Source organism: Homo sapiens, chromosome 3 (genome assembly GCF_000001405.40).
Source record: "Homo sapiens chromosome 3, GRCh38.p14 Primary Assembly".
In the NCBI taxonomy this organism is placed as follows: Eukaryota; Metazoa; Chordata; class Mammalia; order Primates; family Hominidae; genus Homo; species Homo sapiens.
Window position 1 is genome coordinate 38,905,979 of NC_000003.12, and position 27,224 is coordinate 38,933,202.

General features: G+C 41.6%; 1 protein-coding gene across 6 annotated transcripts in view; it reads right to left on the bottom strand.

Annotated features, from left to right (window-relative positions):
• The window catches only part of SCN11A (sodium voltage-gated channel alpha subunit 11), a 206,181-nt gene that overhangs the window by 60,215 nt on the left and 118,742 nt on the right, over positions 1-27,224 (bottom strand). For 5 of the 6 annotated variants that reach the window (NM_001349253.2, XM_047447378.1, XM_017005650.2 and 2 more), the window contains 7 exons: positions 20,825-20,953; positions 19,437-19,531; positions 15,098-15,277; positions 13,957-14,023; positions 4,088-4,229; positions 3,019-3,216; positions 1,971-2,144 (listed from right to left, as the gene is read on the bottom strand). In NM_001349253.2, the coding sequence (NP_001336182.1) occupies positions 1,971-2,144; positions 3,019-3,216; positions 4,088-4,229; positions 13,957-14,023; positions 15,098-15,277; positions 19,437-19,531; positions 20,825-20,953 (985 nt within the window). Of the gene's footprint in view, positions 1-1,970; positions 2,145-3,018; positions 3,217-4,087; positions 4,230-13,956; positions 14,024-15,097; positions 15,278-19,436; positions 19,532-20,824; positions 20,954-27,224 lie in introns of those variants that run through there. The other variant, XM_011533321.3, reaches the window with a different exon arrangement.

Sequence of the window (27,224 nt, forward strand, 5' to 3'; positions counted from 1 at the left end):
TATTTTCCAAGGGTTCCGACTCACCAGAGCCCCAGAGGGAACTATCTTTTTTGTGATAAGCCAATCTAGATAGTCTTTCTATGAGATCTCTCCCTATTACTACAGCAGAGAACTGATCATAGCAGTGGATGGGATCCTTCTACCTACTTCTGCAAAGGCCTCTCAATTCCCTTTCCCCACCACATTATCAGGCATACATATCCACCTTCTACCTACTACATCTCCCTCTATCTCAGGAAAGTGGCTCTTGCCATCTTTACCTGTATCTTTAGCATCTTCCTCTCTTCTGACTTTTCTCTGGACAATTAAAATATGTCTGAACATCCCCCTCCTTAATGATAAGAATAACTTTTTCTGCTGCCCATCCCTCCCCCACCACCAGCTTCATTTCTGCACATCACGCTGCCTAATCAACATCCCTGCTTGGAGGTCCCATAAGCATCTGGAAATTGGCACATTCAAAACTGAATGAGCCATCTTTCCACTCCCAAAATGTGTACCTTTCCTGTCTCCATAAATTACCCTCCATCAAGTTAGCTAATCATGTCGGAAACCAGGTCTTATCCCCACACTGTCCATCAAGTCAACTGCTAAATTTTATCTTCTCCAGATCACGGTCGTCTGTTAATTGCTCTTCATCCTCACTTCCCTAACCCTGGTTTAAGCCACAGGCACCTCTTACTTGGTTACTGCAACAGCCTCTTAACTGGTCGCCTCCAGTTTTGCCCTCCTCCAATCCCCTGTCTTCAATGCATCCAGAATTTCATAAATCCAGTCATATCCCTCTCTTATATAAACCTTTCAATGCTCTTTACCCTTAGCCCTCATTGAAAAGGGTAAACTCTCTAGCTTTGTTTTCGAGGTCTTTTGTGATCCCCCAACTGATCACTATAGCCTTGTGCCACCCACCCTCCCCCAGCCTCATCACACATGTGCATGCATGAGCGTGCGTGCACGCGCATACACACACACTGGCAAGTTTTCTAATGGGTCATGTTCTCCTGCTTGCCTTCGCTTCTAGGCTTTTGCACATTCTATTCTCTCTGCAGGTAATGCTCTCTTTTTCCTTTTACTGGTGAATTCATCCTTTCAGCTGACACACTGCATCTTCTGGGGACCCTTTTCCATTGCTTTTCCCCCAGGCCCCATGAATTCTGGATGCTGTTGGTTTTCCCACCCATATGTCCTTACTTGAGGACTTTCTCTAATGATTCAAATCCTGTCTTCCTTAGTGCACAGCAAGTAGGAAATTAGAGGGAAATTATTGTCTTCTGTCTTCAGCAATCTTTAATCTATGATGGTCCAAAGTTGGTATATATATACCAACATATATGTGTGTGTGTGTGTGTGTGTGTGTGTGTGTGTATATATCTATATATACACACACACACACACACACACACACACACACTTTGATGCCCTTACTTTGGAAGGATTAAACTCCAACTACCTGGCTTCAGTGGTAACTGGCTTGATAATGCATCTTCATTGGTTACCTTCCATTCCATATAGCACTTCTTCCCTCCTTTCCCAGTGCTTCCTGGGATCACTTCCCAAATAATCTACTTGCATTGTAATGTCTTTGGGTTTGCTTCAGAGGGAGCCCACACTGACACATAGTTCCTCCTCTGTTCTCCCACAGCAATCAGCACATCAGTCATCACACTGACTCATAACTGCCTTCTTATCAGTATATCTTCATCATTAGCCGTACACTCTGTGGAGTATAAAACATGTATCCCTAGCACCTATCCCAGTGCCAAGAAGATAGTAAACACTGTAAACACTCTAAATTGATGTTTACAAATAAATGGATAATTGAAAAGACACATGGATGCATGAAAGTATGTGCAAATGGATGAATGAATAAATGAGTAACTGAATAAATGAATTATTTCAATTTGATTGGCAATTGGACCTGTCCCCCTGGACAGCAATATGGTATCATTAATTCCCTGGAAAAGACTTACCTTTTTTTGGCAATCTTCATCAGAATCTGACCCAGGAGGCTGGTCTTTCCCAGACTCTCTCAAAAAGAAGGACTTCCTTTTCTTATTACCAAAGAGCTTTCTCTTTTTTGGGGTAAAATATGATGTTTCAAGGGAAGTAAGTGAACTTCTGTCAATTCCCATGGCAACCAGAGCCTTCAAATTGAACAAAAGCAATTAAAGAACAGATTACACCTCCTCATGAAACATTGCAAATGACCCCGACCTGAGAGTGGTGAAAATCTCTCTTCTGGTAGCTCTGTATCATTTAAATTGCTCATCATCTACCTGGACTACGCTAGCTCTGTTATTTATCTGGGGAAACATGTCCTGTTTTTGCACAGAAATTGCAGCCACCAAAAGCAGCATTGACTCTTTCATATCTCTGTGTCACTGCCCCTTAGCACAGTGTCCAGTATGCGCTAGGCACTCAATAAATACTTATGCCTGATAGTGCAGATGTTAAGCACTTACGATGGGCATCCTTCTGACAAATCTTATAGAGGATCAGTGCGAGTATAAAACATGGTCCCTGTCCTGAAAATCTGAGACTTGAGCTGGAAGAATGTAAAGATTCCAAGGAAACTATTAGAATGGCCTATAAATAAGACAAGGATTGCAGACAGGGAGAGGTGAACATTATTCTAGAGTCCACCTCAAGCAAAGGCGCCGAACACAAACATCTCCAGATTTCCAAAAGAAAGCCTGGAGCACAGCCTGGATTTACATATACTTATGTTGTATCGTCTAGTCAGTAATTTAGGGCATGTCTTAGAAGGCTTAGACTTCAGAAGGTCAAAAAGCATCAAGACCAAGCGTTCCCCGTTTTGAAGGGCCTGGTGCCTGGACAATTTTGTGAAAGATAGCAGCACAGCCATTCTTCGAGGGACTTATATTCTCAGAAAAGCACCAGTAGAGAAAGCACTGAGACCAGGCCAAGGGTGGCAGCCTTGAGTCTCAGGTCACATTGCCTCTGGGGACCCCTTCCCCTCCCCAGAGCAGATCCCACTGTCTGACCCCATGTCCCTACCTCCTTTTCCTCCTTTAACAGCTGCTGGGCTTCCTGAAACATCTTTTCCTTGGCCTCTATCTCTGCAGCTACATTCTTGTTCTGCTCCTCATATGCCATGGTAACAACAGCCAGGGTTAAGTTAATCAGGTAGAAGGAGCCCAGGAAAATGACCACAATGAAGAAGAAGACTGAGTAGAGCCCAGTAGTACGCAGGGTCTGCAAAGGACAGAGCATGTTCTTGAATATCAAACCTTCTTCCACAGGAAAGTGACCATCACCTCAAGCAAAAACCACACAGTAGCAGACAACTGGTCTTCCCCCAGCACTGGTGGGCTCAGTTGACCACAGACCATATAGCTTCCCTAATACTCCAGGGATTCCTGATGCCCTATCTCTCAGTGGGGAGATACTATCCACACCTTCACATGGAAGTTTCAGTGACTTTACTATCTATAACTCTCTCAAGAGTATCTGCATTTTTAAAATAAAAGTGGCAAGAGAGATAGGGCAGTAGGGAATCTGGAGGGGGCTAACATTTCTAGGAAGAGGAGGGGTTCTTTGGAGTCTTCTTCCAAATATTGCATTTAAAATTTTCTTGAAGTTTCTTTTTTTTTTTTTTTTTGAGACGGAGTTTCACTCTATCACCCAGGCTGGAGTGCAGTGGTGTGATCTCGGCTCATTGCAACCTCCGCCTCCTAGGTTCAAGTGATTCTCCTGCCTCATCTTTCCAAGTAGTGGGGATTACAGGCACCTGTCACCATGCCCTGCTAATTTTTGTATTTTTAGTAGAGTTGGGGTTTCACCATGTTGGCCAGGCTGGTCTCAAACTCCTGACCTCAAGCCTCAGCCTTCCAAAGTGCTAGGATTACAGGCGGGAGTCAGCGTGCCTGGCCAATTTTCTTGAAGTTTCTAACAGAATTAGTAAGGCAGAATTTAACAGTACAACTGTTAAAGATGAGACAGATGATAAAAGTGGGGGATGAATGGTAGTTATAAATAAATGGTAAATAAATAGGTAAGTGATAGAGGGGGAAGGAAAAGGATGGAGGGAGGGAGAGAGGAAAAAGAGAGACTATAAATAGATAACCTGTTGATAAAGCTTCTCCCAGGAATCTTGGGTCATCAGCCGGAACATGGCAAGAAAAGACCAGCCAAAGTTGTCAAAATTCGTATAATTATAGTCAGGATTAATTTTGGTGTGCTTACATTCATATTGTATGGAACAGGCACTAGATATTGGAAACAAACAGAGAAATAATTATGTACGCCACAGCCAAGCTTCTTTTTCCTTCCAACGACTCTGGTTTTTCCAAGGGCTGTGGGATCACACCAGGAGCCCTAGAGGAAGGGAGTATTTGTAAAGTGGCCCACTGCACTGTCTGACAAGACTCTTTTGCTAATGAACTGATTAATAAATTCATATAAGATAGTTTTTCATTGAAAAATTGAGTACAGTGACACGTGAACAATGAATAGTATAAAAGCACATACAATGAATATTAAGTCTTCCTCTCTTCCCAGTTTCCTGATCCCACTTCTTAGAGGCAATAGTTAACAGTTACTTTTGTAAATTTCCAGAAGTTTGCTATGACTATACAGCACATCTATATCTACACACAACTTTTATAATACACAAAAATGGGAACATGCTTTGCACTCTCCTGCACCTTGCTTTTTTTAATGGAACAATATAGTTCAGAGCTCTTTTCATATCACCATACAGGGAGATATCTTATTTCTTTTCATGTCTATAGTTCTATGATTTATTTAACTGCTCTGCTAATGATGAATATTTAGGTTTCAGTAATTGACAGTCCTTCACTCTTACAAACATTTGGGCAATGAATATCTTTGAACATAGGTCTTTTCACATATTACCAAAACACAAATTATTGAGTGTATCTATAAGATGTACTAAGGGTATGTATTTCTTAGTTTTTTAATAAATAGTATTTTAATCAAAGTAATACATGCACATGGCTTAAAAATTACATGCACCAAAAAGCTTATAATGAAATCAATTGTATAATTCTTTAACTGTCATTTATACACCCCAAATTCAACAACTGTTAACTCTTCTACCTCCGTATATCTAAATAGTGCTTACACTGATATTTGATTTATCAATTGTAGTTCGTGTTGATTAACTTCTTGCTATGGTAGACATTTTTTCTTGGCTTTTTCATGTTGCTTTTTTATGTTTTACTCCCTCATTCTTCTGGAGCACTTGTCAATTAGCTTCTTAAGAAGATTGTGTAATCTTTGCATATATGAATATATATTTATTCCATTTTCACAATCAATTGGTAGTTTGGCCAGAAATAGAATTCTGAGTTGGAAGTTTTTCCTTAGCAATATGAAAGCACTGCTCAGTTATTATCCTGTGTTGCTATTAAGAATTCTTATGCCAGTTTGATTTTTGTTCCTTTTTGGGTGACCTTCTTTTGCCCATTAGTTTTAAAATCTTTTTCCAAAAAGTTCTGAAATGCCATGATAATGTCCTTGGCATGGTCCTTTCTCATTCACTGTGTTGGGTACTTTCTGGAGCACTGAGGGACTTGCATCTTTAGTCCCAGGTAAATTCTCTGCATCATTTCTTCACTAATTTCCTCCCTTTTGTTTAATCAGTGCTCTAGTTGTAGAATTCCTACTTAGTCAAAAGTTGGGACTTTTGAATTGACATTTACTCTCAAATTTTCTGTTCTCTTTTTCCTACTTTCGGGGCTATTTCGTCAACTTTATCTTTTAGTTCTAATGTTGATTTTTGTGTAATAATGTTTAATTTCTAATAAGTTTCTTTTTTTGCTGTTCTTTTTTCACAACAAGCTGCTTTTTGTTTTATGTATATAATATCTCTTTTAATTTCACCAAGGACACTATTCAAAGTTTTCAGAGCCCTTTCTGGTTCTCTTGTTTTGTTCATGGCCACATTTTCTGTGGCTTTATCTTGGCCTCCTTTTTACCAAAGATTTTCTTCAGATGCCTGGTGAGCCTGAGCTGTTCATGTGTTTTAATCAGAGGACCTGACAAGCTGATTGGGATTTGCCTGGTGGGCAGAGTGGGAATTTGTGAGTGGTAGGTTTTGCTTTAGGTTGACTGAGGAGGAGGGCATCCATTGTGCCCTCTTTCTCACCAGACCTGGAGGAAATTCTGTGAAGTCCCAGTGCCCTCTAACTTCCAGGAGTCTGCTGAGGATGGACCTACCATATTTAATCTCCCTCATTTCTTGGTCACCATTCAAAATATAAGCCTGTTTTGTTCAATCTCCTCCTCTCTGGGTGCACCCTCTCATCAACTTATACAGGTGATTAAGCCTCTCCGCCAGCATCCCCATCTCAGCTAATGACATTATCACTCACTCACACTGATATGAGAAGCATCTGTAACAGTTTTCTCTCCTTTGCACTTCCCGCCACTCTCTTACACATGGCTTTGTATGCACAAATACACACCAACATCCCCTCTTCAATCTCCAAATTTTTTTCTTTCTATTTATTTATTTTTACCTATTATTTTAGGTTCTGGCGTACATGTGCAGGTTTGTTATATAGGTAAACTCATGTCACAGGGGCTTGTTGTACAGATTATTTCATCACCTAGGTACTAAGCCTAGTACCCAACAGTTATTTTTTCTGCTCCTCTTGCTGCTCCTACCCTTCATCCTCAAGTAGGTCCCAGTAGCTGTTGTTCTTTTCTATGTCCGTGAGTTCTCATCATTTAACTCCCACTTACAAGTGAGAACATGCAGTATTTGGTTTTCTGTTTCCTGCTTTAGTTTGCTAAGGCTAATGGCCTCTAACTCCATCCATGCTCCCGCAAAAGACATAATCTCTTGCTTTTTTATGGCTGCATAGTATTCCATCATGTATGTGTACCACATTTTCTTTATCCAGTTTGTCACTGATAGGCATTCAGGTTGCTTCCATGTCTTTGCTATAGTGAACAGTGCTGCAATGAACATGCATGTGTGTGTATCTTTACAGTAGAATGATTTATATTCCTCTGGGTACCTACCCAGTAATGCGATTGCTGGGATGAATCCAGCAACAGTAGTTCTGTTTTAGGTCTTTGAGGAATTGCCACACTGCTTTCCATAATGGTTGAACTAATTTACACTTCTACTAACAGTGTATGTGTTCCCTTTTCTCCACAACATTGCCAGCGTCTGTTATTTTTTGACTCTAATGATAGCCATTCTGACTGGTGTGAAATAGTACCTTATTGTGGTTCTGATTTGCATTTGTCTAATGGTCAGTGATGTTGAGCTTTTTATCATATGCTCGTTGGCTGCATGTAAGTCTTCTTTAAAAAAAAAGTCTATTCATGTCCTTTGCCCACTTTTCAGTGGAGTTGTTTTCTTATTGTAAATTTAATTTCCTTATAGATGCTGAATATCAGACCTTTAACAGATGCATAGTTTGCAAATATTTTCTCCCATTCTGTAGGTTGTCTGTTTACTCTGTTAATAGTTTTTTGGTTTTTGTTTGTTTTTGTTTTCTGTGCAGAAGCTCTTAAGTTTAGTTAGATCCCATTTGTCAAATTTTGGTTTCATTCTGATTGCTTTTGGCATCTTCATCATGAAATATTTGCCCATTTCTATGTCCAGAATGGTATTGCATAGGTTGTCTTCCAGAGTTTTTATAGTTTGGGGATTTACATTTAAGTCTTTAATCCATCTTGAGTTGATTTTTGTATATGGTGTAAGAAAGGAGTCCAGTTTCAATCTTCTGCATATAGCTAGCCAGTTATTCCAGCACCATTTATTGAATAGGGTGTTTTCCTCATTGCTTGTTTTGTCAGCTTTGTTCAAGATCAGATGGTTGTAGGTGTGCAGCCTTATTTCTGGGCTCTCTATTCTGTACATTGATCTATATGACTGTTTTTGTATCAGTACCATGCTGTTTTGGTTACTGTAGCCCTGTTGTATATTTTGAAGTTGGGAAACGTGATGCCTCCAGCTTTATACTTTTTACTTAGGATTGCCTTGGGTATTTGGGCTCTTTCTTGATTCCATATAAATTTTAAAACAGCATTTTTTAAATTCTGTCAAGAATGTCATTGGTAATTTCATAGGAATAGCACTGAATCTGTAAATTGCTCTAGGCAGTATATCCATTTTAATGATATTGATTCTTCCTATCCATGAGCATGAGATGTTCTTCCATTTGTTTGTGTCATTTTTAATTTCTTTGAGCAGCATTTTGCAATTCTCATTGTAGAGATCTTTCACCTCCCTGTTGGCTGTATTCCTATGTATTTTATTATTTTGTCACAATAGTAAATAGGATTGCATTCCTGATTTGGCTCTCGGCTTGGCTGTTGGTATACAGGAATGCTAGTGGTTTTCGTACATTGATTTTGTGTCTTGAAACTTTGCTGAAGTTGTTTATCAGCTGAAGGAGCTTTTGAGCTGAGATTATGGGGTTTTCTAGATATAGATTCATGTTATCTGCAAACAGGAATAGTTTGACTTCTTCTCTTCCTATTTGGATGCCCTTTATTTCTTTTTCTTCCTGATTGCTCTGTCCAGGACTCCCAATACTATGTTGAATAGGAGTGGTGAGAGAGGGTATCCTGTCTTGTGCTACTTTTCAAGGAGAATGCTTCCAGCTTTTCCCCATTCAGTATGATGTTGGCTGTAGGTTTGTCATAGATGGCTCTTATTATTTTGAGGTATGTTCCTTCAATATCTAGTGTATTGAGAGTTTTGAACATGAATGGATGTTGAGTTTATCAAAAGCCTTTTCTGCAACTATTGAAATATTCATGTGTTTTTTTACTTTAGTTCTGATGAATCACATTTATTGATTTGCATATGTTGAACCAACCATGCATCCCAAGGATGAAGCCTACTTGATTGTGGTGGATTAGCTTTTTAATGTGCTGCTGGATTAGGTTTGCAAGTATTTTGTTGAGGATTTTTGCATCAATGTTCATCAAGGATATTGACCTAAAGTTTTCTTTTTTTGTGCCTCTGCCAGGTTTTGGTATCAGGACGATGGTGGTCTCATTGAATGATTTGGGGAGGAGTCTCTGCTCCTCAATTTTTTGGAATAGTTTCTGTAGGAATGGTACCTGCTCTTTGTACATCTAGTAGAATTCAGCTATGGATCCATCTGGTCTCAGGATTTTTTTGGTTGGTAGGCTATTTATTATAGATTCAATTTTGGAGCTTGTTATTGGTCTATTCAGGGAATCAGTTTCTTCCCAGTTCAGTCTTGGCAGGGTGTTTGTGTCCAGGTATTTTTAGTTTGTGTGCTTAGAGGTGTTTTTAGCAGTTTTTAATGGTTATTTTTATTTCTGTGGGGTCAGTGGTAACATCCCCTTTGTTATTTCTAATTGTGTTTATTTGGATTTCCTTATTTTTTGTCTTCTGCTAGCTTTGCTCTTGCTTCTCTAACTCTTTCCATTGTGATGTGACATTGTTTAAGTTATTTCTAAGTTTTTGATGTGGGCGTTTAGTGCTATGAATTTTCTCTTAACACTGCCTTAGCTGTGTCCCAGAGATTCTGGTATGTTGTATCTTTGTTCTCATTAGTTCCAAAAAACTTCTTGATTTCTGCTTTAATTTCATTATTTACCCAAAAGTCATTCAGAGGCATGTTGTTTAATTTCCATGTAATTGCATGGTTTTAAGTGATTTTTTTAGTCTTTTCTTCTATTTTTATTGTGCTGTGGTCCGAGAGTGTGTTTGGTAAAATTTTGGTTCTTTTGCATTTGCTGAAGCTTGTTTTATGTTCCATTATGTGGTCAGTTTTAGAGTATGGGCCATGTGGTGATGAGAAGAATGTATATTCTGTTGTTTTGGGGTGGAGAGTTCTGTAGAGGTCTAACAGGTCCATTTGGTCCAATGTTGACTTCAGGTCCTGAATATCTTGGTTAATTTTCTGCCCCAGTGATCTGTCTAATACTGTCAGTGCTGTGTTGAAGTCTCCCACTATTATTGTGTGGGAGTCTAAGTCTCTTTGTAGGTCTCTAAGAACTTGCCTTTTGAATCTGGGTGCTCCTGTCTTGGGCGCATATACCTTTAGATTAGTTAGGTCTTCTTGTTGAATTGAACATTTTACCATTATGTAATGCCCTTCTTTATCTATTTTTTATCTTTGTTGGTTTAAAGTCTGTTTTGTCTGAAATTAAGATTGCAACTTCTGCTTTTTTTCTGATTTCCATTTGCTTGGTATATTTTCCTCCATTTCTTTTATTTTGAGCCTATGTGTGTCATTACATGTAAGATGAGTCTTTTGAAGACAGCATACCATTGGGTCTTGCTTTTTTATCCAGCTTGCCATTGTGTGCCTTTTAAGTGGGGCATTTAGCCCATTGACATTCAAGGCTAATATTGATATGTCCTAGTCTTTCTGTCTCCTAAACGTCTCTGGAATGCATCCATCCAGCTTTCTTCATCACCACTGTACATCTTCATGATCCTTATTCTTTCTACCACAGTCTTGTAATTGGCTTCCTCATCTACTCTATGCATCCATTCTCTATACAGAAACCATAGTGGCTTTTAAAATATGTCTAATCTGCCCAGTCATCTGCCTGCCCTAAAACCTTTCCATGTCTCCTGCTTCCTTTGTGATCAAGACCAAAATCGTTGGCACTGATGAGCTATCACGTCCTTCATGGTTGGCTCTTGTCTCTGTTCCTTCCTGCTCTCTTGCCTGTCTGCCCAAAAAGTTGCTGGGCTTCTTGTCAATCCCTATATGCTCTTGTGCTCCAAGGCCTTATGCTCACCCTTGCTGTGCCTACTGTCTGGAATTGTTCACTCTTTATCTACTGGAACCTCCTACTTAGACTTCAGATCTGAGTTGTAGTCACGGTGAATTAGTCAGCAGGGGAGGAAGCAGTGACTGGAGGGTGAAGACTAGCCTGGGCCCTGAAAAGACCAAAGCCTGCCTGGAAAGATGATCACAGACCTGCCTTCTCAGAGTGCCATCTCCTCAGAAGCAAGCATGTTGTGATCACTGTGGAATGCTGTGTACTAGGAGTTGGTTTACCACAAAACTCTGGAGCATTCATATTGTACCTAGACTGAGAGAGATGTGCTGGCACATAAACTTAGAGACAAGAGCCCTATAAAGACCAGTTGTACATCATTGATCATTAGAGAAATACAAATCAAAACCACAATGAGATACCATCTCACACCAGTCAGAATGGCTATTACTAAAAAGTCAAAAAATAACAGATGCTGGCATGGATGCGGAGAAAAAGGAACATTTATCCACCGTTGGTGGGAGTGTAAATTAGTTCAACCATTGTGGAAAACTGTGGCAATTCCTCAAAGACCTAAAAACAGAACTACCATTTGACCTGGCAAGCCCATTACTGGGTATATACCCAAAGGAATATAAATCATTGTATCATAAAGACACATGCAAGTGAAAGTTCATTGTCACACTATTCACAAGAGCAAAGACATGGAGGCAACCTGAATGCCCAACAATGACAGACTGGATAAAGCTAATGTGGTGCATATGTGCCATGGAATACTATGCAGCCATAAAAAGAATGAGTTCTATTACTTTGCAAGAACATGGATGGAGCTGGAGGCTATTAACCTTAACAAACTAATGCAAGAACAGAAAAACCAAATCCTACATGTTCTTAGTTGTAAATGAGAGATAAATGATGAGAACACATGGACACACAGTGGAGAACAATAGATACTGGGACCTATTGGATGGTGGAGGTTGAGAGAAGGAAGAGAATCAGGAAAAATAACTAATGGGTACTAGATTTAATACCTGGGTGATGAAATAATCTGTACACAAATTTACCTATATAACAAACCTGCATATGTACCCCTGAACTTAAAATAAAAGCTAAAAAGAAGACCAGTTTGTGCACCAAAATCTCAGAAATTACCACTAAAGAACTTATTCATGTAACCAAGTACCACCTGTTCCCCCAAAACCTACTGAAATAAAAAAAATACCCAAGTTTGACTGCTGTTAAGCATGGTATGTGTCCTCTGCCTCTCTACTTTCCCCACCACTCTCTATTGTCATATACACATCACACTTGATTCATTTTGTGTCTGATGTTATTTGAGTTTTCAACAGCTAAAATAGTTTTTTGGACTTTTTATAGCAGTATAGTATTGTAATAAGAGATTTTGGAGGCAAAAGACTTGGGAAAAAAAAAAAGGACTAGTTGGAAACAAGGCTGCTGCTTCTGCCTGTCTAGGTTATACACCCCACGTTGGATTCTGCCTATGGTAACCACACCTGTCTGCCTGTGTGAGGGGTAAAAGAAGTGCTATATGCAGCAGCTGTCGGGCTCCCTTTAAGACAGGGATCCCCAAACCCGGGCCCCAGAGCAGTACTGGTTCATGGCCTGCTAGGAACTAGGCTGTACAGCAAGTGAGCAGCAGGCGAGTGAGCATTACACCTGATCTCCACCTCCTGTCACATCAGTGGTAAGCATTAGATTTTCATAAGAGTGTGAACCCTATTGTGAACTGCGCATGCAAGGGATCTAGGTTGCACGCTCCTTATGAGAATCTAACTAATGCCTGATGATCTGAGGTAGAACAGTTTCATTCTAAAACCACCCCCACTTCCTGCCCACGAAAAAATTATCTTCCATGAAATCAGTCCCTGGTGCCAAAATGTTGGGGAGCTTTCTGGCAACAGGGACCGGTTTCATGGAAGACAGTTTTTCTTTCTAGAATGATCCTCAACAATATCAATGCAGTGTGTGCTGTTGGGAATCATTCTAGAAAGCTCAGTAAGCTTCATATTAGATTAAAGCCTATCGTGTCTTGCAAATGGAATGAGAGAAGCCTTCCCTAATTCTCCAGACAAGGTCACAACCCCATCATACCTCTCAGCACCTGCACATCACCCTTATAACACTCATCACACTTTCTAGTAATCATGCATTGCTCAACAGCAGGAATACATTCTAAGAAATGTGTAGTTAGGCAATTTTGTTGTATAAACATCATAGAGTGTACACACAAGCCTAGATGGTATAGCCTACTACACACCTAGACTATGTGGCATAGCCTATTGTTCCTAGGCTACAAACTTGTACAGCATGTTACTATACTGAATACTGTAGGCAACTGTAGCACAATGGTAATAATTTGTGTATACACAGAAAAGGCACTGTAAAAATATAGTATTATAATTTTATGGGGCCAGTATCATATATATCATCCATTATCAATCTAAATATCATTATGCAACACATAACTGCATTTTCTGTGCATCTGTCTTCCCTAGAAGACATCAAATCCAAAAACGTGGAGCTGCCTTGTTCACAATTGCATTCCTTGAGGCAAACTCAGGGCTTGGCACTCTGTAGATTCTTGTTATCTATTTGTAATTTAGGAATGAATGTCATCTATTTCATCAGAGTACCTTGCATATTATCTTAATTTGAAATACACTCAATAAATCTTCACTGAATTGAATCTTTCACAATAGAAAGCACCGCTAACCTGAAGGAAAAAAGAGTTTCCCCATTGGAGCAGAGGGCCAGCAGCTGTTGGGGCAAGTGTAAGTGGATGTATGTTCAACTGTGTTTGTAATTTGAGGCAATAGTTGTCAACAGGTCAACAAAGAGAAGAAGCATGCTCAGATACTCTTGCAGCAGGGCAATGCCACTGAACAGGAAACAAGGGCCTCACAGGGCTCTCAGTCATAACATCCCTTCTCAGTTTTGAAAGTCTTGAATACCTACTCCATAAAGTTGAAATATCACTGTTTCAGTAGGTTTCTTATAAGCTTCCAATTTAACATAACTAGGGAGGAAAGCTGCCTTAAACACCAGGAAATGATTTTTTAATTTAATAACACAAGTCTAAACATGTTTAGACACATGAAATAATTATGTGAGAACTATCATCACTGTGTCCACCAGTCATTAAAGACTGTTTGCCACACCATTCTAAAAGGTCTAGAGGTACTCTTCTTGGGAGGAAAATGATTATAAACCTCTTACCTGTTACCCATCCAGATGCCACACATTTTGAATTCAGGTGAATTTTCTTTCTTTTCAAAGCAATGGTCTGAGAGAGGAAAAAGTCATAAATTCAGATTTTAAAAAAAACATTGAAAGGAAAGAGAATAGTAAGTATGCAGATTATGCTTGAAAATGGATGTTTCTACATCTTCTAAAATGATTAAAGGAGGTGTGTCCAGAGAGAAACTGGAGCCCAAGACCTCTGGAAGGAGTAAGAAGGAAGGAGGGAAAAGAAGAAGGAAGGAGAAGTTGGAGGAGGAAGCAGTGACATCACCACCACCACTTTGCCTCTCTTAAATAATACTGAACCGAAGATCCTCCCTGGGGGAAGCTGGACACAGACCCATCCCATGAGAGACATCAAGAGAGTGTAGTCACATGAGATTCATGACACATGGAGTAGGTGTAGGGTCAACCTCAGCATGGAGAGGGTGGGCACTGAAAGAAGTGTTGTTGGCCGGGCATGGTGGCTCACGCCTGTAATCCCAGCACTTTGGGAGGCTGAGGTGGGCAGATCACGAGGTCAGGAGATGGAGATCATCCTGGCCAACATGGTGAAACCTCGTCTCTACTAAAAATACAAAAATTAGCTGGGTGTGGCGGCACATGCCTGTAATCCCAGCTACTTGAGAGGCTGAGGCAGGAGAATCACTTGAACCTGGGAGGCAGAGGTTGCAGTGGGGTGATGTCACTGCACTCCGGCCTGGTGACAGAGCTAGACTCCATCTCAAAAAAAAAAAAAAAAAAAAGACGTGTCATTGGAGAAATACTTGAGGAGTGGGGCTGGGAAGCTGCTGATTATTGTTAGCCAAATCCAAGCATTCTAAAAACTTCTGCAAATCATTACAAAGAAGTGGGCAGAGATCTAAATGGCAAAGGGATGGGACAGCATAGAATTGCTCTTGTGGATGTGGTTTCAAGACTTTCCTTCTCCATAGGAAGCCAAAGAATGAGGCAATTCTCTAGGAAATGCATCTGCCCACAGGAGCACCCTGGATGGATGAAGTCCTCCCTTGCTGCTAAGAGACTCTGTAAGGGAAGTGTGAAGGCAGGACAAGTGAGGATAAGGAAAAGTTAACCATGCAAAAACCAAGGAGTGAAAGAAAGGTTGGGTATTTACCATAAGCTTCCGGGTTACTGATATTTTTACAGTCCCTCGAGATGCATTTCAGGTTCAGACTTCCCATGAAGAGCTGCTGACCTACCAGGGCAAAGATGCTGAGGCAAAAGAAGGTGAGGATAATCACGTTGACCAGCTTCTTCACAGAGCGTAGCAAGGCCCCCACGATGACCTTCAGACCTGAGAAAGAGGACAGGCTTGGGGAGAAGCCCATCCCCCTCAGCCAGACACTCACAAAGGCCAAGTAAGGAGCAACTGAAGTCTCGGAAACTGTCAAATTGCAGGCTGGAACTGGACTCCAGCCTAGCCTATGATTCTGATGCCTTGAGTTTGTGCTCCAACTCTGTGCCTTGGAAGCTGAGTGTCATCAAAGCAGTCAACAAGTTTGAGACTCAATCTCTCTATTCCTGCCCTATGCCTGCCTCAGTGCTGCTATGAGGAGCAAGCAAAGAGGCTTTGAATAGAAACATGCCACACGGACTCAAGGCATAGGTTGAGGACAGTTGCAAAGGCACCACCTAAGCTGGGGCCACACTAGAGAATGAGATAGACCTGTATTTAACATTTAGTAGATACTGTCTACTGTCAAAGTACTTGAGTACCATGAGACACAGCTAAATTGTGGGGTATAGGGGATGAAGGAGATTTGTCTAGACCCAAATTATGAGGATATCCTGGGAGGGAAAACTCAGATTACCAGTTAGAATAGGGTGTTTTCTTTTCATTCATTCATTCATTCAAGAAGTATTTATTAAGCACCTACTATGTCCATGGCACACTGTTAAGCTGCCAAAGTTACAAAATAAATAATCTTGTGGCATGCTAGTAAATATTTAAAACTGGCTCTTCAAGCAGGAGGCAGGAGAGCCCTGATCTATAGCATTTACAGGTTTCCTTGTTTTCTGAATTCTGTGGTATAGATCCTGATCCCCACTCACCACCATGGTAGATTTCAAGCTACCAATATGATGTCACTGGACAGAGCTGGAAAAAGAACAAGTCAACTTCAGCAATCCACTGAGTCTCAAGATAGCTGGAGAGATAAACTCCCAGATGTAATTGAAAGGCATGGAATGACACTAAGTGACAAAATTTCAATTGATTAGCATAGAGGTGAGAGCACATGGCAGCATACAGTGGGAGGCCAAGCCCTCAGTGGATGGGCTTCCCACAAAGTATAACACCAGATAGCAGGAACCTGGAGGCCAAGCTGGGACACTTACTATATCACCAATTGAAGGCAAACCAGAGGTTACTACAGTGTCACCCAAGGCAGATTTTAATCTATAACAAGAGGCTTCTCCAAAGCAAGAAATGTGGATGAGTGATGATTGTGATTCCTGGATCATTTTTTAATAGTCTCATAAAAGATTGTGCCTCACACCCTTACTTCCAAAAAGCATCCAGGCATCTCAGTGCATTTAATGGGCCAAAATAGAGACTATATTCACCTGTGTGGAGATGAAGACGGGGACATGAAAGCTGCTAAATGACTGCCTGAATGTGTATTTACTTATGTGAAAATAAAAGGGGCTCAGCTCATGCAGAAAGCTCCTAAATCTACCTGGGAAAACAAAGTCCTACTTGAAAAGAAGAAGGAGAAGGAGGAGGAGGAGGAGGAGGAGAAGAAGAGATAAATTGTATATAAAGTGTCCTCTGACTACCAGTTTCTTTATCACTATTCAGTTGCTTTTCTGAAGTTTCAAAAAATAACCTACTGCTTCTGTTTGAAAGGACTGGAGTTTAGGTATTGGGGCCATGCGGTATAGTTTATGTCTATATCATCAGCACAACTAAATAGTTCCCATGTCTTTTTACAGTTTGCCAAAGCCACTGATAGAAGAGAAAAGAAGGGAAGGGGAGAAGGTGGGGGGAAAGGAGTCCAGAGAGGGAAGATAATAAACTGTTTTGTTTGTTTGTTTTAGTAAAGAAAAGAGAGGAAAGGGGAAGGAGAGGAAAAGGGTGTGCTATAATAACCTCATTTTTAATAAACAGAAATTCATATTCACACCCAACCTTGGCTTCATCCTGATCCGAAGGGCTAACATGACTTCCTCACCTGGCTTCCAGGAGACCACCTTTGGTTCCCCTCCTACTTCACAGGTGGCTGCTGCTCATCTCCTTCCCTGGTTTCTCCTCTTCTCCCTTTCATGTTTCAGTACCCTGGGGCTCAGACCTTGGTCCTCTTCTATTCTCCATCAGTGCTTATTCCCTTGGTGATCTCTTTAGATCTCACGGCTTTAAATATCTATAGACCCTTGATTCCTGAAATGGTATCTCTAGCTCTGACTTCTCCCTGGACTCCTGGACTCATATATACCTAATTTCCTGCTGAATCCTTTCCCTTGGTGGTCTCACAGCCATCTCAAACATAACATGTTCAAAGCTAGCTTGTAATCTGACCCCAAGGCCTGCTCCTCTCACAGCCTTCTCTGTCTCAATCAGTGACATCAGGTATAAAAGTCATTTTTGACTCCTCTCTTTTGCTCACACCATGTATACAATTGATCAGTCAGGAAATGCTATTGTTTCTACCTTTGAATTGACACAGAATCAAACCAGTGTCTACCAACTCCACTACCACTACCTGATCAGAGAGCACTGCCATCCCTTGCTTGGATTATGGTCTCTTGTGTCAGTTTGGGTTTTGAGGAGCAGACATTCTGAGATCAGATGTGCCAGAGATTTGTGGGGGTTGGGAGGACGCCTGTGAAAGATGAGTCGGGGGAGCAGGAGTGGGCAGGGAGAAACTTCAGACTGCAGCTCAAGTTTGATGTCTGAGAGACAGACAAGGGAGGAGGATTGGATAGGAAGAACCTCAGACTGCAGTGCAGCTGTCGGAGTCTCAGCCAGGTCACTGGAGAGTCCCTGAGCCAAAGTTTCCTATTAGAAGAATCCCATATGCTTCAGGAATGGGCCAGCACTAGAACCCACACACACTGTGCAGGGCAGGCATGATCTTGGCATGTGGATGAATGCAGTGGGGAATCCAGAGAGGTGGAAGCCGGGATCTTTAGTCCACTGTGCTCCCTGTAGCAGGAGGTCTTCCTGCTTCTCCCATCTCCCCTACATTCCATTCTCCACACAACAGCTCCCATTTCTTCAGAGTGAAGCGCATATCCTCCCTGTGCCTACAAGACTCCCCTTCAGTCCTTTTTTTTTTTTAGACCTTAGGCTGGAGTGCAATGGCACAATCTTGGCTCACTGCAGCCTGCAGCCTCTGCCTCCCAGGTTCAAGCAATTCTCCTGCCTCAGCTTCTCGAGTAGCTGAGATTAAAGGTACTCACCACCACATCTAACTAATTTTTTTTTTTTCTGAGACAGTTTTGCTTTTGTTGCCCAGGCTGGAGTGCAATGGGGCGATCCAGGCTCACCGCAACCTCCCTCTCCCAGGTTCAAGTGATTCTCCCACCTCAGCCTCCTGAGTAGCTGGGATTACAGGCATGCACCACCACACCTGATTACTTTTGTATTTTTAGTAGAGATGGGGTTTCTCCATGTTGATCAGGCTGATACCAAACTTCTGACCTCAGGTGATCCACCTGCCTCAGCCTTCCAAAGTGTTGGGATTACAGGAGTGAGCCACTGCACCTGGCCTTAACTCTTGTATTTTTGTAGAGACGAGGCTTTTCCATATTGGCCAGGCTGTTCTGAAACTCCTGGCCTCAAGTTATCTCCCCACCTTGGCCTCCCAAAGTGCTAGAATTACTGGCGTGAGCAACTGTACCCGGCCCCCCCTTCACTTCTATGATCCCACCTCTACCTGGCCTCTCACCCTCTCCTTTCCAGTCCCATCCTCATCCTTGCTACTCCTCAATCTCTGTGCTGGCTGTTTCCCATGCTCAGAATACTCTTTCCCATATATCTGCTTGTGTCACTCCCTTGCCACCTTCAAATCTCTGCCACCTCTCACCTCAATGACAACTATCGTGATCACTCTGTTTAAAACTGCAACCTCCTTCCCCTGTACCCTGTGACTTCCCATAGCCCTCATGGTGTCTACTTTTTCTTTATATTTTCCCTGGCACATAGCACTTGCTCACATGCTACATAATGTACTTATTTATTATAGTTGTTGCTTCGTGTCTGTCTCCCCACCCCCACCATAGAAGGTAAAACTCCATGAGTCCGTATCCATTTGCTTACTACTAGATCTCAAGCAGTTAGCACAGTGCCTGGACATATTAGGTGCTCAATAATTATCAGTTGGACCATCAAATAAATTTGTAAAGCAGGCTTTGTTTGTTTTTGGTTTACATGATGACATTTTGAAAAAATTTAAATATAAATTAACATTCTTTCTAGATAGGAGCCAGTGTGGAAAGTGAGAGTGACTTACGTGAAACTACTGAAATTGCTTTCAAAGCTCTGAACACACGGAAGGTACGCAGGGGCAATAGTTTGATGGTGATTCCTGGAATATATGACACAATCCTACAAGACAAAGCACAGGGAAGGCATGGGCTTGCTCAGTCCTGCAGCTGCACTGCACATCTCCACAAAAGCCACAAGTAAGCTCAGCCTGAGGCCTGTGACCTCCAAGGTGAAATCGACAGCCTCACCTTTCCAGCCCCACCTTTATCTTAGGATCTGGCAATACCACTGTTCTTGCTATGAACTGCAGAGGACGCTGTTCTCAGTTCACCTTCATACGTGGACACAGATGAAGACTCCTTGAAATAGTTCATGTAGTTGTGGCTACATCCATGAATAATAGAAGTCCTCTCAAATATTTACTGAGTGGCTGACAAGTTCCATGCCCCAAGGCACTTCACTAAAGTCTCCTGCCACTACATGGTCAAGCCTGAATGTGTAGCCAGGCAGTGTAGCTCCAGAGCCATACTCTAAACCACTGTGCTTCACCACCTTTCAATAACGAAGAGCACACAATCTTTGAACTTCAAATGTAAAACTCTGAAATTACTAGCACCTACCTCCAAGGGCTTTTGTGAATATTAAATAGGAAAAAATATGCAAAGTGCTTAACATAATGCCTGGTACATATTGAATGATGCCAGGTTTACTATTGTTGTGCTGGCAATGTGTCACTGCATTTCTTATTTTTTCTTTTGCTGACTCCATTTCATCATTCAGATTCCAAATCAGTGTCTTTCCTTCAGGAAGAGCTTCAACCTTCACCTTACACCATACATGATAATTAACTCAAAATGGACCATGGACTGAAACATAAAAGCCAAAACTACAGAACTTCTAGAAGTAAACAGGAGTAAAGCTCTTTGTAACCTTGTAGCAGCCAAAGATTTTTTAGACTGCTTTGTTCTTCCTATATTCTCTGACAGCTTAATACATGTATAGCCCCTATCCTGGTACTCATCATACCATATTTTCAGGGCCATTAATTGTTACTTTTCCCCTCTGGACTGTGAGCTTCATAAGATTGAAAACCATGTCTTTTTTTTTTTTTTTAATTTCATTGGCACACCCCTGTATCTTCCATAGAGCCTGGCCCATAACAGGCCAGTGTTGGTGAGTAAATGGCTGAAGGAACACGAACTTGAGTGTTGACCTAGAAATGGCTTTGTGTGTGGGGGCCTCTGGCCAATTGGCTGCACGTGCTGTTCAGGGCCAACCAACACAGCACTCAGAGCTCTAGGCATTACTAGGCCATACTCAGCCACTCAAATGGATCCACACAGAGCTCTGATGGAAGCAAAGGGGCTTCTTTCCCACTCCAAGTCTCTTCAAAAACATCTTTAATATTCTTACGCTATTCCAATGACAATGGAGTCCAGCCAGTTCCATGGATCTCGAAGGAAAGAAAACTCATCCAGAATGAAACCTCTTGCCAATATTTTAATCAAAGCTTCAAAAATATAAATCCCAGTGAAGACACACCTAAAAAGCAAATCATTTACAACAGGAAGAAACATGATAAACAATGTGAAAAGCAAAGAGCCCTTCTATCTTACTGGCCTTGATTTTTTTTTCCATTTCAATGTGACATTTAACATTCTGGTCTTCAGCAAACCAGAGTTCAAAAATGCAAGCTTTTTAAGCAAGTCCTGGTATTTAGAATTTCAGAGAAACAGGCCCAGAGATAAATTGTGAAGCTGCATTTCAAGGCCTAGCTTTATGTCCATATTCTTGAGAATAGTTTCAGGTAACATGAGACCCAAGCACTGGAGGTTGTACTTTGTCACCACCATTCTAGAGCTGTCACTCTGATGTACAGAAGGAGACAATGGTGACAGAACAATGAAGAGAGTAAATGACAAGCAAATAGCTGAATTTTTTCATACCTGTGTTCATGGATTGGAAGGTTTAATATTGTTAAGATATCGTACTACCCAGGGTGATCTACAGATTCAGTGCAATCCTTATCAAACTCCCAATGACATTTTTTACAAAAATATAAAAATCCATTCTAAAATTCATATGGAATTTCAAGTGACCCCAAATAGCCAGAACAATCTTGAAAAAAAACAAATTGTGAGGTCTCACACTTCCTGATATCGAAATTTATTACAAAGCTACAGTAATCAAAATAGGGTAATTTATCATGGAAAGAGATTTAATTGACTCACAGTTCAGTTCAGCATGGCTGGGGAGGCCTCAGAAAAATTACCATTATGGTGGAAGGGGAAGCAAACATGTCCTTCTTCATACGGCAGCAGGAAGGAGAAGAATGAGAGTGAAGCGAAGGGGAAAGCCCCTAATGAAACTATCAGATCTCATGAGAACTCACTATTACGAGAATAGCATGGGGGAAACCCTCGCCGTGACTCAATTATCTCCCACCAGGGCCCTCTACCACACGTTAGGATTATGGGTACTACAATTCATGATGAGATTTGGGTGGGGACACAGACAAACCATATCAAGGTGGTACTAGCATAAAGACACATATAGACCAACGGAATAGAATAGAGAGCCCAGAAGTAAACTTTTGCATATATGGCCAAATTATTTTCCACAAGGGTGACAAGACTATGGAATAGTCTTGGCAATGTCCTTGGAAAAAGGACAGTCTTTTCAACAAATGGTAAAGGGAAAACTGAATCTCCACTTGCAAAAAATGAAGTTAGAATCTTTACTTACACCATATAAAAAATTAACTCAATATGGATTAAAGTCCTAAATGTAAGACCTGAAAAACATAAAACTCATAGAAGAAAAATTTGAAAGTCATATACCTAACAAGGGGTTAACATCCAGAATATGTAAATAACTCTGACAACAGAAAACCAAACACTGCATGTTCTCACTCTAAGTGTGAGTTGAACAATAAGAACACATGGACACAGGGAGGGGAACAACACACACTGGGGCCTGTTGGGGGTGGGGAGCAAGGGGAGGGAGAGGATTAGGACAAATACCTAATGCATGTGGGGCTTAAAACCTAGATAACAGGTTGATGGAGAAGCAAACCACCATGGCACACATACAGCTATGTAACAAACCTTCATGTTCTGCACCTGTATCCCAGAACTTACAGTAAAATAAAATTAAATTAAATAATAAAATAAAATAGAACTCCTACAACTCAACAATAAAAAATTAAATGACCTAATTAAAAAATGACCAAAGGATTTGAATAGATATTTCTCCAAAGATGAAATACAAATGGCCAACGAGCATATGAAAAGATGCTCAACATCACTAACCATTAGAAAAATGCAAACCAAAACCACAAAGAGATGACCTCATGCCCATTAGGATGGCTACTATTTTTTAAAAAACCTAAAATAACAAGTGTTGATGAAGATGTGAAGAAATGGGAACACTTGTGCACTGTTGATGAGATTGTAAAATGGTGCAATCCCTATGGAAAACAGTATGAAGACTCCTCAAAAATTAAAAATAGACCTGCTATATGATCCAGCAAAGCCACTTCTAGGTATATGTATAAAAGAATTGAAAGCAGGTTCTCAAGAACTTATTTGCCTACCCATGATCATAGCAGCACTGTTCATAATAACAAAGAGGTGGAAGCAACCCAAATGCCCTTTGCCAGATAAGTAGACAATCTCCTAAAAAAAGAAAATAGCTTACATCTTTTTTATATTCCCACACTGTCAAAAATACTGGGTCTGTGCACGCACACACACACACACACACACACACACACACACACACATGTTTGGGACTGAAACAAGTAATTCAGTCAAACAACCTGTCAGTTCAGAGTAAAATGTGGTATATACATGTGATGGAATATTAATCAGCCTGAAAAAGGAAGAAAATTTTGCCACATTCTACAACATGTATAAACCTTGAAATCATTATGCAAGGTGAAACAATCCAGTCATAAAAAGACAAATACTGTGTGATCCACTTATATGAGGCAGGGGCTGAGGGGAAGATTGAAATGGGGAGTTGGTATTTCATGGATATAGACTTTCAGTTTTGCAAGATGAAAAGAGTTCTGGAGATGAATAATGATAATGTTGTGCAGCACTGTGAATGCACTTAATTCCAATAAACTTAAAATAGTTAAGACGGTATCTTTTATGTTATGTGTACTTTGTCACAATTTTAATAAAAACTGGGCCCTTCCTTTCTCTTCCCTGAATCTTCCATCATATTCTATCCTTGCTATGGTTTGAATGTTCCCTCCAAAAGTCATGTTGAAATTTAATTGGCATTATTATGGTATTAAGAGGTGGGACCCTTAGGAGGTGATTAAGCCATGAAGACACTTCCTTTGTGATGTATTAATGCCAATATCTCAGGAGTGGGTTCCTGATAAAAGGTGAGTTCAGGCCTCTTTACCCTTGCTCTCTCATGTGCACATTTTTGCCCTTCTGCCTTCTGCCATGGGATGATGCAGCAAGAAGACCCTCACCAGATACAGACCCTTTGATCTTGGACTTCCCAGTCTCCAGAACTGTAAGAAATACATCTGTATTCTTTACAAATTATCCAGTCTGTGGTATTTTGTTATCACAACATAAAATTGACTAAGATAATTCTCTAATTTATTTCCCTTTTTATCTGCTGTCTCAAAAAAAAAATCTCGTATCTTTTGTTATAATCCCAAGCTGCAAAAATACTGAGTCTGCAAGCACAAACACATACACACGCTCACTTGGGACAGAAACAAGCAATTCAGTTAAACAGCTTATCAGTTCAGAGTAAAAGAAGTGGACCTTTTCTGGTAAACTATCCAGTCATAATAGCCCTGAAAGCTAAAGAACAAAGGCCTTGAGGACTTGAAAAAACTCAAAGCAGCCAAGTCCAAGAGCAGAAATGGTCATGAGGCTGCTACAGGCAAGAGCTCCTCCTTGCTTCAGGCTTTTTCTGAGCTGCTCACCTTTTGTGTGACAAATGAGCATATCAGATTAAATAATGTCTGTCCTAAAATATGTGTGTGTGAATGTAGGGTTGCAGGAGGTTGTTAAAAATGTCCTCATATAAACAGGCATTAAAAGAGTTTAAAAAGGCAACATCTTTTAATACCAGTTTTAAATTATAAAGTTATAGATGCTTTGATAAAAATCTGCAATTGCAGATTTGTGGGATTTTTCAAGTCTTCATACAGATCTTAAGCAAATGAGACAGCAGACTGTCGCTGCTGTTTCTGCCTGACATTCTAGTCTCCCACCTCTTACTTCCACCATTCTCTCTTTTCCAGCTGAAGCCTGACCATTGATGGGACAGGCAGATCAAAATGACATCTGATGTGGAGTAAAACCATGCCCACCAGGAGGAAATTACATGCCTCCTTGTATGAAGACATTTTTAACAGCCTCCTCCCACCCCACATTCACGTATCCACTGTTCATCCAAAACTTCCAGGGGAGAGCAACAGCTTTCCCCACACTTGACTCCTGCCTCTCTGCTTAAAGAGGGGTTTTCCTCCCTGCCTTATGGGTATTTTAATAGTGAAAATGGCCTCAGAGCAAATTACCTTCCCATAATAGAGAAAGAAGGCTCCTTGCATCTCACCACAAGGGCTAGGCAGAGCAAACCGCAGCTGTGGAAACAATGCACTCTCCTGATCTGTCTCCTCCATAGGTCCTGCCCTCCTCATCAAAGGCTTCCAGGGAAGCTGCAGTAAGCAACGAGTAGCAACCCCTGCACTCAGTTAGCACCTCATGCAACAGCCAAATCTCCAAAGGGGAGACCACATTCCCCAAGGACATTGCCAGGATGGCACCTATTCCTGGGGCTATCTGTGCCCTCCTCAAGGCACAGCCCCTCCACTGGCCAGCCTTAACCAGGTTCCAGGTTCCACCCAGCAACAGAGACAGACAGTCCCTACAAAGACACCACCTAGAAGGGAGAAGAATTCTCCAGAGACATATAGACCAAACCAGACCTTGTAGTCAAAGAAAGGGCAGTTTTCAAAGTCTGACCACTAACCGGTGTCCCAGAAACCACTAGAGCCAAGTAAAGGAGAATAGATGTGTACATGATTTAGAGAACACTTCCAGGAAAAAGGTAGGGTGGAAGTGACTGGAGACTGCCTTCCCAAATTCCCATTTAAAATCTATGAAAACATTTGAAAATAAGAACATGTTCTAAAGAAGCATGACGAGAGTGGGCATTGCCCAGATTCCAGGAGGAAAGCCTCCCAGGGTCATCAATCCATTTTTCCTTGGAGCATCCAACCTTGTTCACATAGTCCCTTTCCTGATGATGTTGTATTCCCTAATAAGTGCCTGCAAGGTCTGGGAGTCCCCAGTCCTACTCCCCACCAGAGGTACAAACAGCTGCTAGCCAGCTTTCACCATCATACCTCTAGCGGGAGTGATTTTTTGCCTCTGCGCCCAAGTCCCTCAAGCCTTAGAAACAGTAAGTCATTGCTCCAGTCATTTTAGAAATATTAGATAAGCCATTCCATTCACAAGAAGCTTCTTATATTTGCCTGAACCTGAGTGGGTCTCTTTGAATTACTAGAGGATCTGAAAGGAAAAGTACAGCTACAAGGGTAACTAATGTGGGAAATGTAGTACAATACTTGCAACTTGCCAAGTCAGATACCACAAATGTTACTATAAACATCCTTAAAGAAGAATCTGCAAGAAACTGAACCAAAGAGGAAGGGAAAATAAGAATACAAAAGACATTTAGAAAATATTAAAAATTGAAATGCCACATATTAAAACCTACAAGACAGAGACAAAGCTGTACCCCTAAGCATTGTCCCTATAAATATTTTTATTATTTACAACAAGAAGGAAAATGCAGTCAGGCTGGAGCCAAGATGGCCGAATAGGAACAGCTCCAGTCTACAGCTCCCAGCGTGAGCGACGCAGAAGATGGGTGATTTCTGCATTTCCATCTGAGGTAACGGGTTCATCTCACTAGGGAGTGCCAGACAGTGGATGCAGGACAGTGGGTGCAGCGCACCGTGCATGAGCCGAAGCAGGGTGAGGCATTGCCTCACTCGGGAAGCACAAGGGGTCAGGGAGTTCCCTTTCCTAGTCAAAGAAAGGGGTGAGAGACGGCACCTGGAAAATCGGGTCACTCCCACCCCAATACTGCGCTTTTCCGACGGGCTTAAAAAATGGCGCACCAGGAGATTATATCCCGCACCTGGCTCGGAGGGTCCTACACCCACGGAGTCTCGCTGATTGCTAGCACAGCAGTCTGAGATCAAACTGCAAGGCAGCAGGGAGGCTGGGGGAGGGGCACCCACCATTGCCCAGGCTTGCTTAGGTAAACAAAGCAGCCGAGAAGCTCCAACTGGGTGGAGCCCACCACAGCTCAAGGAGGCCTGCCTGCCTCTGTAGGCTCCACCTCTGGGGGCAGGGCACAGACAAACAAAAAGACAGCAGTAACCTCTGCAGACTTAGATGTCCCTGTCTGACAGCTTTGAAGAGAGCAGTGGTTCTCCCAGCACCCAGCTGGAGATCTGAGAACAGGCAGACTGCCTCCTCAAGTGGGTCCCTGACCCCTGACCCCCGAGCAGCCTAACTGGGAGGCACCCCCCAGTAGGGGCAGACTGACACCTCACACGGCCGGGTACTCCTCTGAGACAAAACTTCCAGAGAAATGATCAGACAGCAGCATTCGCGGTTCACAAAAATCCGCTGTTCTGCAGCCACCGCTGCTGGTACCCAGGCAAACAGGGTCTGGAGTGGACCTCTAGCAAACTCCAACAGACCTGCAGCTGAGGGTCCTGTCTGTTAGAAGGAAAACTAACAAACAGAAAGGACAC